Genomic DNA, 14,543 nt, shown 5'->3' on the forward strand with positions numbered 1-14,543 from the left:
GGGATTCCCAGAGCTATCAGAAGACAAGAAATAACCAAGATCAGAGGGGAACTAAAGGAGATAGAGACACTAAAAACTCTTCAAAACATCAATGAATCCAGGAGCTGTTTTTTTTTAAAAAAAAATTAATAAAACAGACAACTGGCTAGATGAATAAAGAAGAAAAGAAAGAAGAATCAAGTAGATACAATAAAAAATGATAAAGAGGATGTCACTACTTACTCCACAGAAATACCATCAGAGAATACTATAAACACCTCTATGGAAATAAACTACAAATTCTAGAAGAAATGGATAAATTCCTGGACACATAAGCTTTCCCAAGACTGAACCAGAAAGAAATTGAATCCCTGAGTAGATCAATAACGAGTTCTGAAATTGAGGCAGTAATAAATCGCCTACCAATCAAAAAATGCCGAGGACCAGACGGATTTACAGCTGAATTTTACCAGAGGTACAAAAAGGAGCTGGTACCATTCCTTCTGAAACTATTCCAAACAATAGAAAAAGAGGGAATCCTCCCTAAATCATTTTATGAGGCCAGCATCATCCTGATACCAAAAGCTGGCAGCATCATCCTGATACCAAAACCTGGCAGCATCATCCTGATACCAAAACCTGACAAAAAAAGAAAACTTCAGACCAATATGAACATCAATGTAAAAATCCTCAACAAAATACTGAAAGACCAAATCTAGCAGCACATCAAAAAGCTTATCCACTATAATCAAGTTGGCTTGATTGCCGGGATGCAAGGCTGGTTCAAGATATGCAAATCAATAAATGTAATTCATTACATAAACAGAACTAAAGACAAAAAACACATGATTTTCTCAATAGATGCAGAAAAGGCCTTCATAAAATTCAACATCCCTTCATGTTAAAACTCTCAATAAAGAAAGGTACATTTGAGGAATGTACCTCAAAATAATAAGAGCCATTTATGACAAATCCATAGCCAATATCATACTAAATGGGCAAAAGCTGGAAGCATTCCCCTTGAAAACTGCCACAAGACAAGGATGCCCTCTTTCACCACCCCTATTCAACATAGTATTTGGAAGCTCTGGCCAGGGCAATCAGGCAAGAAAAAGAAAAAAAAAAAAAAGGGTATTAAAAGAGGAAGAGAGGAGGTCAAATTGTCCATGTTTGCAGATGACATGATTCTTTATCTAGAAAACCTCATCATCTCAGCCCAAAAGCTTCTTAAGCTGATAAGCAACTTCGGCAAAGCCTCAGGATACAAAATCAATGTGCAAAAATCATAAGCATTCCTATACATCAACAACAGACAAGCAGAGAGTCAAATCATGAATGAACTCCCATTCATAATTGCTACAAAAAAAAATAAAATACATAGGAATACAGCTAACAGGGGAAGTGAAGGACCTCTTCAAGGAGAACTACAAACAACTGCTCAAGGAAGTAAGAGAGGACAGATGGAAAAACATTCCATGCTCATGGATAGGAAGAATCAATATTGTGAAAATGACCATACCATACTGCCCAAAGTAATTTATACATTCAATGCTATTCCCATTAAACTCCAATTGACATTCTTCAGAGAATTAGATAAAACTACTTTAAAATTCATATGGAACCAAAAAGAGCCCATATAGCCAAGACAATCTTAAGCAAAAACAACAAAGCTGGAGGTGTCATGCTACCTGACTTCAAACTATACTACAAGGCTATAGTAATCAAAACAGCATAATACCAGTACAAAAACAGACACATAGACCAATGGAACAGAATAAAGAACTCAGAAATAAGACTGCACATCTGCAACCATCTGATCTTCAACAAACCTGACAAAAACAAGAAATGGGAAAAGGACTCCCTATGTAATAAATGGTGCTGGGATAACTGGTAGCCATATGCAGAAAATTGAAACTGGACCCCCTCCTTATGCCTTGTACAAAAATTAACTCAAGATGGATTAAAGACTTAAATGTAAAGCCCTAAACCATAAAAACGCTAGAAAAAAATCTAGGGAATACCATTCAGGACATAGGCACGGGTAAAAATTTCACGACAAAGATGTCAAAAGCAATTGCAACAAAAACCAAACTTGACAAATGGGACCTAATTAAACTGAAGAGCTTCTGACAGAAAAAGAAACTATCATCAGAGCAAACAGACAACCTACAGAATGGGAGAAAATTTTTGCAATGTATCCATCTGACAAAGGTCTAATATCCAGAATCTATAAAGAACTTAAACAAATTTACAAGAAAAAAAAAAACAACACCATTAAAAAGTAGGCAAAGGACATGAACAGATGCTTCTCCAAAGAAGATATTTATGTGGCCAACAAACATATGAAAGAAAGCTCAACATCATTGATCATTAGAGAAATGCAAATCAAAACCGCAATGAGATACCATCTCATGCCAGTCAGAATGGCGATTATTAAAAAGTCAAGAAACAACAGATGCTGAAGAGGCTGTGGAGGAATGCTTTTACACTGTTAGTGGAAATGTAAATTAGTTCAACCATTGTGGAAGACAGTGTGGCGATTCCTTAAAGATCTAAAACCAGAAATACCCTTTGACCCAGCAATCCCATTACTGGGAATATAACCAAAGTAATATAAATTATTCTATTATAAAGATACATGCACAAGTATGCTCATTGCGCACTACTCACAATAGCAAAGACATGGAATCAACCCAAATACCCATGAATGACAGACTGGATAAAGAAAATGTAGTACATATATACCATGGAATACTATGCAGCCATAAAAAGGAATGAGATCATGTCCTTTGCAGGGACATGGATGGAGCAAGAAGCCATTATCCTCAGCAAACTAACATGGGAACAGAAAACCAAATACCACATGTTCTCACTTATAAGTGGGAGCTGAACAGTGTGAACACATAGACACAGGGAGGGGAATGACACAGATTGGGGCCTGATGGAGTGGAGCAGAGAGAGGGAGAACATCAGGAAAAATAGCTAATACATGCTGGGCTTAATACCTAGGTGATGGGTTGATAGGTGCAGCAAATCATAATGGCACATGTTTACCTAAGTAACAAACCTGCACATCCTGCACATGTACCCTAGAACTTAAAATATTAATAAAATTTTTTTTAAAAAGGAAGTGGGATTCCTTCCCCTAAATATTTCCCCACTAATGTATTGTAATAAAATATTGCTTAATCTCTTTACCTTGTCTCAAGTTCTCATACATTAAGTCTGTGAAAATTAAGATGTTACGAAAACAAACTAGGAGTCTTCAGTGTACAGGATACAGTGTTTAAAATGTTATTTCCTAATTACAAAAAAAAATTATCCCTCTTGGCAACTGACCTATCATGTATTAAAGGCCTTGGAGAAGGCTGACATCAAGTCTTACCAAATCTTTAAAAGTCTGGCACACTCACAAAATGAAAGCAATTTTGAAAAACAGAATGTAACTAATGGGCTTGAGTGAGGTGTGTAATTGTAAATCAATTCTAATTAATGTCTTCCCATTTCTTGGTTATTATCTGCATGAACCCATTTATGTGAACTCACAAATGATTCTGCCAAGCAGGAAGGAAATGTAAGCTATTCTGAAAGACACTTCTTTTCCTGTTCCTTTCACCACATTTAATAGCTTAAAATAATAGGGTGGAGTTAACGGTGACATTTTTGGGGACCCTGGGCATCTTGGAGCATTGATGAGGTATGGAGGACACACCCATAGGTGACACTCAATGAGTCACACTCTCATATAACTCCCTCCTTTTGAATGGGTGTGGAACCTGTTACTTGCTTCTTATTAACAGAATATAGCAATGGTGACAAGATTTTGTAGATATAATTAAAATCTCTCAGCAGGTGGCTTTAATCAAAAGAGATTATCATAGGTGGGCCTGACCTAATCAGGGAAGTCCTTTAAAAGAGGGTCCTGGGGTCAGAGACTAAGCAGCAAAGATTCTCCCTCTCCCTTGCTGGCTTCGAAGAGGCAAGCTGCCATTAATTCTGCGACCAAAAGGAAATGAATTCTGTGAACAACCAGGGGCAGGGGGTGGGAGGACCATACTTGGAAGTGAATCCTTCCCTAGTAGATCCTCCAAATAAGAACACAGCCCAACCAACACCTTGATCTCAACCTTGTGAGACTCTAAGCAGAGAACCTAGCTCAGCAGGGCCCCAGACTCCTGACCTACAGAAACTGTGAGATCATAAATGGGTATTGTTTTAAGTCACTACATCTGTGATCATTTGTTACACAGGCATAGAAAACTAATACGCAAGCTGTGCCAGTGTGTCAGACACCAGAGGGAGAGAGGTACAGAGCTCTTTGGAAGCAAATTTCCAATCCCTGCTCACTTCTTGCCCCCAACGCTTTTGCTCTTTGACATTGCTTGCTGCCATCCTGCCTTCAACCTCAAATCAGGTTTCTGCCTGTGATTCAATCTCTGGCTCCCTATGAGAAATCTTTTTTATATAAAATTAATATATAAATAAATTTGCTCTTGGAGAGATGCAGTGTGGAACAGAACCTGCCAGGCTCTCTAACGTCCATCACAAAGAAAGACTGCAGAGGGGAGGGGGAAGGCAGAGCTTTATCCTCCATAGGGAAGCAGAGAATTCATAGTGATCTTATTGCAGATGTAAAATTAGGTCAGCGGCTCTGTAAACTGATTAAAGCTCATGCTTCACGCTTCCAAGGAAAACAGCCAATACAAAAGGGAATGATCCCTGGCTCAAGATGAGAAGGAAGGAGAGCTCTCTATGTTCGTAGTCCAGCCATATAGGATGCTTGGCCAAAATGAAGGTATAGAAAAGGAACAACCAAAGAAAGAACAGGTGGGAAATTTTCTAAAAGCAAAAACAGTAGACAGCCTTTGTAATACTGCCACGTAGACACAAACCAGTGACTTGAGGTCCCAAAGTTTATGAGCCTAAGCCACCCTGCTTCTCCCTAAATTCATCTCCATCTCCAGCTCTTAGCCCTCTGATACCTATGCGTCTTGGATTTGACAGGCAGCCAGATTTTAAATCTTCTGTTTTGTGTCCTCTAGAAGTCAATGCCTCACCAGTTCAGGATTATCTCAACGCCTGGATCAGGATACACAGTTTGATCTGAAGACTCTTTTCCCATCCCCATTTTTCTCTAGGGTATTACCCCAACTTTATTTCTTCCTCTTTCCTCTTCCCCGAAATGTCTGCCTTTCGTTTCCTTCTCAAAGTTGCTAAAAGGCCACCTTCATTTCCCTTAAATCCTAGCCTTGCCCTCCTGCTTCCAGGATGATGCTTTAAAAAACAAAACTCATTCACATTGATTGATCTGTCTCATGGGTTACCCAAGCAACCGAAGTCACTACCTAAGGGTTAGAAAAAAAAAGACAGATTCTCTAGAGCAAATGGGTGGTGGTTGTTTTTGCAGTGCTAATCTGTCTTGTTTGAATGGGAAACATTTTGAGTTACTAAAATATCTTTACCTTTTTAAAAATGTGTGTATATGGGGGAAATATGAACTTTGTGAAGCATGCAGTAAATCTGATCTTATACACTGATCTAACTACCTGTGAAGAGAATATCCTGCTTATGTACTTGATTTACACAAGATAGAATAGAAAGAATTGTGAGGCTAGTTAAGGCTGTGGATCAACTGTTCATGGCTCTTGGGCCCAATGCCTCCATTTAGACTTTAAATCAAACATCAGGAAAGGACACCTGGGACTTGAGTCAGTTACATATTCATTTCAGTAGTGACCAGAGTCATTCAGCTCATTTTTGGTTCAAGGCCAGTTATCAGTCCAAACTAACTTGGGAAAACACTGCCCAAATTCTTTGCTCCACACAGAACAGAAAATAGCAGGTCTAATTTGAGTTCCACAAAAAATAATGGGCTTAGTTTGGATACAACTGTGAAAGAAGTTTCAATGCCAAGTAAAGGTGCTCTATTTTTCCGGATGGAGATGTATGTTCTGAAACCTGGTTCATGTGTTTCTGCCTCAACCCTTGGCCACACCACTGGCCAGGAGGCTTACGTGAGACTGGCTACTGTGACTGAGTTCTATGGATAGTGAGTAGAATAAAGCCTGAGGCTTACTCTCAGTTCATTTCAATACAGTTTCAGGTTTTGGGAATTGGGGAGAAAAGAAAAATTAAAACTCCTGACCTATCTAGTCCCTGGAGCAGAATTTTTTCACACAGATGCATCATATGGCATTGAAGAAAAGAGTTCTCCCAATCCCACCCCTTGCCCCCAGTAAAATCCGTTACGGAAAAAGCATTCTGTTCCAATGTCACTTTAGTCCCTCATAGTGACAGCGTGCATAAAATCCAGTTTTATAAAATTAGCTAAAATAAAACCATGCAGCAGCAACTTTTCTTAGGTAATGTAACCCCTACCTGTCCTCAAAGGCCTGTTGACTCCTTGTATCACAATTTTAAGATATTTTAACTTAAAATCTCTTGTTTCTTCTGCGAAATAAATGGCCCAGGTATATCGCCAGGGTGACTGCCTATACATCTCTCTTGGGTCTTTTAGGACATACTGGATCTTTCTGGGTATCATCAAACTTCTCCATCCAAGAATAAGGGACAGCAGCATCTCTTTGACATCCATAGCCCATTTCTGCTTTGCCAATATCACTTGTGCATCTGGGGCCACCAATGCATCCTATCCTAGCAAGTATCAATGGGAATAAAGAAGAAACTTAGAAAACGACAAAATTCAAGAAGAGCTGAAGCTCTGGAGCTAGCTTTGGTGGAGAAAGAATGATGCGGGATGTTGGACTAAGCGAGAAATGCATAAGAAGGTGAGTGGAAACATAACAGTCAGTCCAGCTGTTTAAAGCACCTATCACTCAGGACAGGACCGCAGACCAGAAGTGACATGGGTCCCCAGGAGTTGTCGCCACTCACTGTGCCCAGGTTAGCTGGCACTAAAGGAAGCTCATGGAAAATGATCTGATCTGAGAAAAGTGACTTAATTCCAAGCCATTCAAAATCATTATCTCAGAGGACATTTATGGTGTTAAGTATTAGATTGGTGCAAAGGTAATTGTGGGTTTTGCCATTACTTTTTTTTTTTTTTTTTTCCGAGATGGAGTCTTACTCTGTTGCCCAGGCTGGAGTGCACTGGCGCGATCTCAGCTCAGTGCAACCTCCACCTCCCGGATGCAAGCAATTCTCCTGCCTCAGCCTCCTGAGTAGCTGGGATTACAGGTGCCCATCACCACGCCTGGCTCATTTTTTGTATTTTTAGTAGAGATGGGGTTTCACCATGTTGGCCAGGATGGTTTCGAACTCCTGACCTCAAGTGATCTGCCCACTTCCACCTCCCAAAGTGCTGGGATCGCAGGTGTGAGCCACTGCGCCCAGCCTTTGCCACTACTTTTAATGGCAGAAACTGCAATTACCTTTGCACCAACCTAATATATCACTCTCCTTGTCCATAATAATGCTTTATCAAGAATACATTCATGCTCAGCAGAAGAATCTTCTCTTTATAAGGTAAAATTATTTGGATTTGAGGAAAAGTGATGAGGACCGCAGGTACCAGAAGCATCATGTTGTAAAGTAGAGAGTACTACATGAGAATTATAAGATTTGGAGATTATCCTTACTGTTTATTTCTCAGTTTTCTTGAGCTAAGAAAGAATAAACACAAAAGAAGAATTCTTTTTCTGACCTTCCCAAAATAGAAAACAAGATATATAATAGATGGTGATGTAGGTTTGTTTTCTTGTAATATTTTCCAGGGCAATTAAGAGAAATATATTACATAGTTCCAAGACCACGACCAGATTCTTGTGGATCTTCCTGTGTCCATTCTTTTCTCTCTTGTTTCTTTCAAATTCACCTAGAGGTACTGGGTCTCAGTTCTGCCATTTATGAGCTATGTGATCTGCGATGGGAGACTTAACCTCTGTGAGACCTGTAGTCTTACGTAATCAGCTGATAGTAGTACCCATTTGTACCAGTCAGAGCCCCAGCAGGAAGCAGATGGCACTCTCAAAATGATTTGAGATTGCAACAAAGGGACTAATTGCAAAGGTGAGGCAGAGTTTAAGGAAACAAGACAGGGTGAAGCACCTTAATGCTAGCAAACGTAGGGAGCTTTTACATCCCTAGATCTGAAGAGGCATGGCACACGGGTAATTCCTACAACCTTAGAAGAGTAGCCACATGAGAAGGGTACCAGAAAGGATTCAGGGCCTTCGGTCAAAGTGATGCTACCAACCCTTGGCCACTTACTGTGGAATAAACACCCCAACCTTTCCCTCCTATCACTCTCTAATCCAGTCTTGATCCAAAGACTGTGTTCCCTCTGTCTTAGATTATAAAGTTCAATCCCTTGATGGGACTTTTCTCCCATTTGTCAAATCCAGCTGGAAACCAGAAAGCAAGGAGACCCACTAACATGGCCTACTCTGGTCGGCCTCTGGGCACAAAGGAGGGTGAAGAAAGGATGGGAGCAGACATGGAGGCACCAATGGAAAGTACCAGAACACTTAAAAAATTGAACTTTTATGTTATTACTCAATGTTACTTTTATATTATTAATCAGTATTTACTGAGCCCAACCCCTATGATAGTTCTACAATGTATTACTCTTAAAATCTAAGCTAGACCTGAAATCCTATATTCTGTTTTAAGCTATTACCTCTCAATAGGAAAAGAGAGGTGTTGAGTGTCACCTTAATCCTTCCTGAGATAAACATTCAAATCAATCTCTCTACAGATTGCCCATAACCTTGTTCTTGTCTGTATTAATACATTCCTGTTGTCTGTCTTTATTTCTGTTTACACTATGTAAATGTTATAGAATCATCAAACTTTAGAAATAGATTTGAGATAACAGATTAAATTAGGGATACCAACTACTCTTTCATTCCACAGATATTTACTGAGCCTGGATTTTATCATCCATGCCAACTATAAGTGATGAGTAGTGGCGACCTACAGCATTGCACTGAGAGAAACTGAAAGCTGTACTCATACAAGCTAGGAAACTGACTATTCCAGCTGAGGGAAAGGAAGAGTGAACCCACATACCAGAAACCTACTTTATCTCGCCAAACACAAATATGGGATGCCTAGTTAAGTTTGAAGTTCAGATAAACAATGAATCATTTTTGGTACAAATATGCCCCATGCCATATTTGGGGCATGTACTTAAAAAATGATTCATTGTTTATCTGAAATTCGAACTAAACTGGGCATCCTGTATTTTTACTTGCTGAATCTGGCAAGCCTGACCCTGACCTTGGACAAGGTTCTTGGCTAACATTTCCACTTGGTAGACTGGGAATCTAAGACCCATAGACAGCAAGAAACTTTCCCAACTTTACACAGCTAGTTAAAACAGAATCAGAACTAGAAGTACTTTCTACTGTCACATATGGTGCCCCCTCTGACTTAGATCATAAACTTCATGAGGATTTAAGTAAATCTGTAAGCCACCTAGCAAACCCTTGCAAGCTGCTAGGCCCCTAACGAGCTCTTTCAGATTGATTGAAAATATGACCTGGAAAATGTCATAATGACATTTCATAATAGTGTTGTGTTAGTTTGTAATGTACAGTATATTACACAAATTCATCAAATGCTTGCAGAATTAATAGTACCATGCTACCATTCTTATACAAATTTTAATAGGAATGAGCATCTATATTTATATGCAGGAATTCCAGATTAGGCAGTTATTTGGTTTTCTACAAATACAGAAAATCAATGACAATCCAAAAACCTATTACAGCTAAAAAGTGACTTAAAATGTAAAATGGGAATTTCTACCTTTTTAACCACTGAAACTACTTCTTTATTGAAGCTGAAAGATATTTAAAAGGAAACACATTTTTTGCCGGAGATTTGTTGACATATCAACAACCCAGTTATCCTACAAATGTACCCAGGGTTCAGGACATGGAAGAATCCTAGGGTTATTACCCATAATCCCTATCCCTTTGAATTGCCCATTATTGAACCATTTATTTGGCTCCAGTGATAAACAGAACTCTCTCCCCACTGCACAGCTACAGCTCCAAAGGAAAAGATGGCTTAGGTGTGTGAATAAAGAAAGTAGTGATATTACATTGTTTATTATCATAGTGCACTCAGATGTGATGACTGACTACCATCCATGGTCGGCAGAATAATGGTCCCCTAAAGGTATCCACACCCTAATCCCTGAAATCTATGAATGTGTTACGTTACATGGCAAAGGAGAATTAAGGTGGCAGAAGGAATTGAGCTTGCTAATCAGATGACCTGATGATAGCGAGATTATTCTGGATGATTGCAATTGGTCCAGTGTAATCACAAAGGCCCATAAAGTGGAGTAGGGTGACTTAAGAATCAGAGTCAGAGTGATGTAATGTTAGAAATACTCTGCCAGCCATTGCTGGCTTTGAAAGTTGAAGGGAACCATGAGCCAAAGAATGGGGACAGTCACAGAAGGTGGAAAAAGAGAAGACACAGATTCTCCCACAGAGCCTCCAGAAAGAAACAATTTTCACCCACGAAGACCCATTTTGAACTTCTAAAGTCCAGAACTATATAAAATCATAAACTTGTATTGCCTTAAACCACTATGCTTATGGTAATTTGTTACAACCACCACAGAAATGAAAACACCACATTTCTAGGATGGTCAGTTATGTGTTAATATCAATGTCAAACAAAACATTTAGATAATAATATCACTCTCAAGCATAAGAGTCATAAAAAGTAAGATATTGAGATGATCAACCAAAATAAACAAGAAAATAGCATTGCTATCTGGAACAAGATAGTAGACATTTTCCAAGGATGAGGCCAAATAAGTGTAAATAGAAGCCCTAACATTTTCTTACGACATCTCCAATGAATTGTCTTCTGCACCCCTCAAAGTAGGAACATTCTGCTTTGAAGATGATCATGCTTGAAGCTACAATCTGTATCTGACGCATATTTCAACTTGTTCTCCAACATAGCTGCTGAGTTTAACACAAAGCCATATAGAGGTCATTTCTATAGAGCACAATAAATACCATTATGTGTTAGACGGATGGATGGATCACTTTTCTCCCCTTGCAAGGTAAGACATTGTCATGAAGAAGGTAAAGGACTGGGATTCAGGAGTCTGGTCTAGCTCCTAACTAGCTGTGAGATCTTGAGCAAGTCACTTCACATCTCTGGGCTTTGGTTTTCTCACTGTGAAAAATACAAGATGAGCTCTAAAGCTCCTTGGAACACAAAGGTCAAGGATGCTAGAGACTGGGGTGATGACGGGAAAATGCAGGAGATGATCAATTCAGAAAGTCCTTAGAAAACAGGCAAGGGGTGAATTCAAGCATTTTGATGATCCCTACCAATGTTACCACAGCCCTGCTTTGTCTATGTGGATTCAGTAGGGCCAGGATGAATCCTGGAAGTTTCCAAGTGGTACTACAGGATCATCTTCCCCTTAAGCAGGAGATCCTGGTGATGGCGCCCCAACAGCTGGCACCCTGGTCCCTGACTCAGCCTAACTCCCACAGCAGAGCTGGTCAGAAAAAACAAGCATGCAGATGAGGAGGGCATGGACAAATGAGGTCATACCACATGAAACTTCTAAACTCAGTGCCTATGTAAAGCAATGGTCAGTAAGGAATTTTCCTCATTGGCCTGCTTTGACAGGTCTGGAGAAATACCATGCTGAGGTCTTACCTTCCTCTGAGGCTGCTGCACACATGCGCCACAGCCAAAGGCAGATTCTGGCTCTATCAGACCAATTATTTCACAGGACATAAGAGTACCTAGTCTGATGTTCCTTTCATTTCCATTACTATCTCACTCAATCACTTCTGAATGTAGTGACAGGACTTGGCTTCCTTCCCTAGAGAACTCTGCTCACTGTCCAGTCCTTATTGCCTTAAAGAATTTTTTTTTTTTTTTTTACTAATGGCTACAATATTTTTTCTCGCTTCACTTTAGGCCATGGCTCCTGGTCCCTGCCATCCCGGAAGATGGTGACTAATCCTTTTCTCTCATTGATATGGTTACCCTGAAAGTATTTATAGACTGTGGTCACCTCCCCCACAGAGGCCTTTCTTCTGGGAGGATATAAATTACTTCTTCAGTCAGTCCACTCAAGTTTGTTCTCCCAACCTTCATATCATTTTTGTGGCCTTTCTTTTCTTTCTTCTACATTTTATTTCCCTCTTAAACTGTGGGGATGTGAGCCACAGCTAACTTTCCAGATGTGGTTAGAATCTTCTTGGGTGAGGCAGAACCATCCAGTTCTCCACCTCCACCCCCTCGCCACAGACCTTTCCTTTGAAAATGGAATTGGAATTGCTGTGTGTACTAGTCTGTTTTCACACTGCTGATACAGACATACCTGAGACTGGGCAATTTACAAAAGGAAGAGGTTTATTGGACTCACAGTTCCACATGGCCGGGGAGACCTCACATCATGGTGGAAGGCAAGGCGGAGCAAGTCACATCTTACGTGGATGGCAGCAGGCAAAGAGAGAGCTTGTGCAGATAAACTCCCCCTCATAAAACCATCAGATCTTGTAAGACTTACTTGCCATCACGCGAACAGCATGGGAAAGGCCTGCCCCCATGATTCAGTTACCTCCCACCAGGTAGCTCCCACAACATGTGAGAATTCAAGATGAGATTTAGGTGGGGACACAGCCAAACCATATCACTGTGCATACCTCGTTTGGGTGGTCATCTACTTTCTGCCGTAGGTGTCTTTCAGATATGTCCGTTCTGCAGTTAGCTAGTCTCCTTCTCACTTGGATCTTGGCTGTTTGAATCCCTGCCTGAGTAAGGAACTGTGTATTTAGCACAACTGCATCTCATCCTCGGCCTGCAGCTCCTGTCTCTCAATGGTATTCTTCACCTGGCCATTTGATTCTATAATAACTTCATATGGGGGGTGTGTGTTTCTGAGCTATCTAATCTGGCTGTCACTAAATACATATGCATAATTACTACCGCATATCAGACACTGTTCTTAGAAAATTCTTGCTTTGGGAGAATCTCCAGGCATCTTGAAAGACATGACTCATTTCCCACACTGCCACTACCTGCAGAGATCTCAGAGCATTTATTTCTAAACTCAGAAGCATTTGTTTTTGGTCTCAGCTCCAGGACTTGGCTGTGTCATGCTATCCTAGGTAGAGGATTTTGGGTCCTTAGACCCAGGCTGATCAGTGCAGGGGCTGTTAGCCACATGGGGCTACTCAAAGTTAATGAAATTAATCAGTAAATAAATGGAAATAAGACAAACAAAAATCAAATCAAGTTTAAAATTTGGTTCCTGGGTTTCACTAGCTACATCTCAAATGCTCAATGGCCACAGTGGCTAGTGGCTACCGTGTTGCACGGCACAGATATGGCACATTTCCACCATCACAGAAAGTTCTAGAGGAGGGTGCCACCCCAGGCAGCTGTGTCCCACAGTCTCCCTTTCTTTATGGTCCTCAGACCTCACCACCAGGCAGTAGTTCTCCCCATCCCTTGTGCTACATTTTCCATTATCATCAAACTGTTTGTATCAGTGGAGATGGAGAACAGATGGTCCTCACCTTTATGCATCCAACACACACTTACTGAGCTCCCAGTATGAGCCAGGCCCTGGTCCTGTCTCTGGGGATAAGCAGTGAATAAGGATCTGTCCACCTGAGGCTTCCATTCCAGTGGATGAGAGAAACAATTAACAAGTATCTACATAATAATGTGTCCGTGGAAAGCCCGAATGCAAGGAAAGGGACAGAGAGAGGGCCATCCGGGAAGGCCTGTCTCAGGTAGAGATATGTGAGCAAGCATTTGGGCACAGTGCAGAAGTGAACCACGTGACATTTCACATAATTTCAGTGTTAGTTATGTGAAGTTGTAAATAAAGCCATGGGTGTTGATGAAAACACCTAGGGGGCAAATGTAAAGAAAGGAGAGAAGGTTTAGAGCTCAGTACCAGGGGACTCCAACATTCCCTGGTACAACACTTCTAAAAAGTTGAAAAGAGGCCAGATGCAGTGGCTCATGCCTGTAAACCCAGCAATTTGGGAGGCTAAATTAAGAGGATCTCTTGAGGCCAGGAGCTCCAGACTAACCTGGGCAACATAATGAGACCCTCTTTCTACAAAAACATAAAAAATTAGCCAGGCACGGTGACATGTGCTTGTAGTCCCAGCTACTCGGGAGCTTAGGCAGGAGGACTGTTTGAGCCCAGGGTTTGCAGTAAACTATGATTGTGCCACTGCACTCTAGCCTAGCTGACAGAGCAATATACTGTCTCTAAAAAAAAAAAGTTAAAAAGATACTAAGCTTTTATTAATCTCACTTTAATTATTTACTCATGACTCCTTGGTCCAAAAACTCTCCAAATTCATTTTTGTAATGGGTAAGGGTGGACATTGTCTATTTTACTATTCACTGTAGAATCCCCATGGCCTAGCATGGTGCTTGTATAAGCTCATTAGGTAGTTGGTGAATGAATGAAGGCTGAGAGAAAGGGGATTTGAGCTCATCCCTTTCATGACCACCATTGCTGCCTTCACAGTCCATGCTGGCTTTAGAACAACCATACCCATGACACACCAGGACCCCAGAGT

The 14,543-nt window shown here is 40.6% G+C and overlaps 1 protein-coding gene and 1 long non-coding RNA gene across 2 annotated transcripts in view; one reads left to right on the plus strand and one right to left on the minus strand.

The window, feature by feature from the left end:
- Positions 1-14,543, minus strand: part of ZFHX3 (zinc finger homeobox 3) — a 1,109,046-nt gene that overhangs the window by 977,018 nt on the left and 117,485 nt on the right. The window lies entirely within an intron of this gene.
- On the plus strand, positions 4,252-6,628 carry LOC102723876 (uncharacterized). The gene is made up of 3 exons (XR_001752375.2): positions 4,252-4,285; positions 4,669-4,806; positions 6,497-6,628. It is a non-coding gene; the product is annotated as an uncharacterized LOC102723876 (long non-coding RNA).

Source organism: Homo sapiens, chromosome 16 (assembly GCF_000001405.40).
Source record: "Homo sapiens chromosome 16, GRCh38.p14 Primary Assembly".
Lineage (NCBI taxonomy): Eukaryota > Metazoa > Chordata > Mammalia > Primates > Hominidae > Homo > Homo sapiens.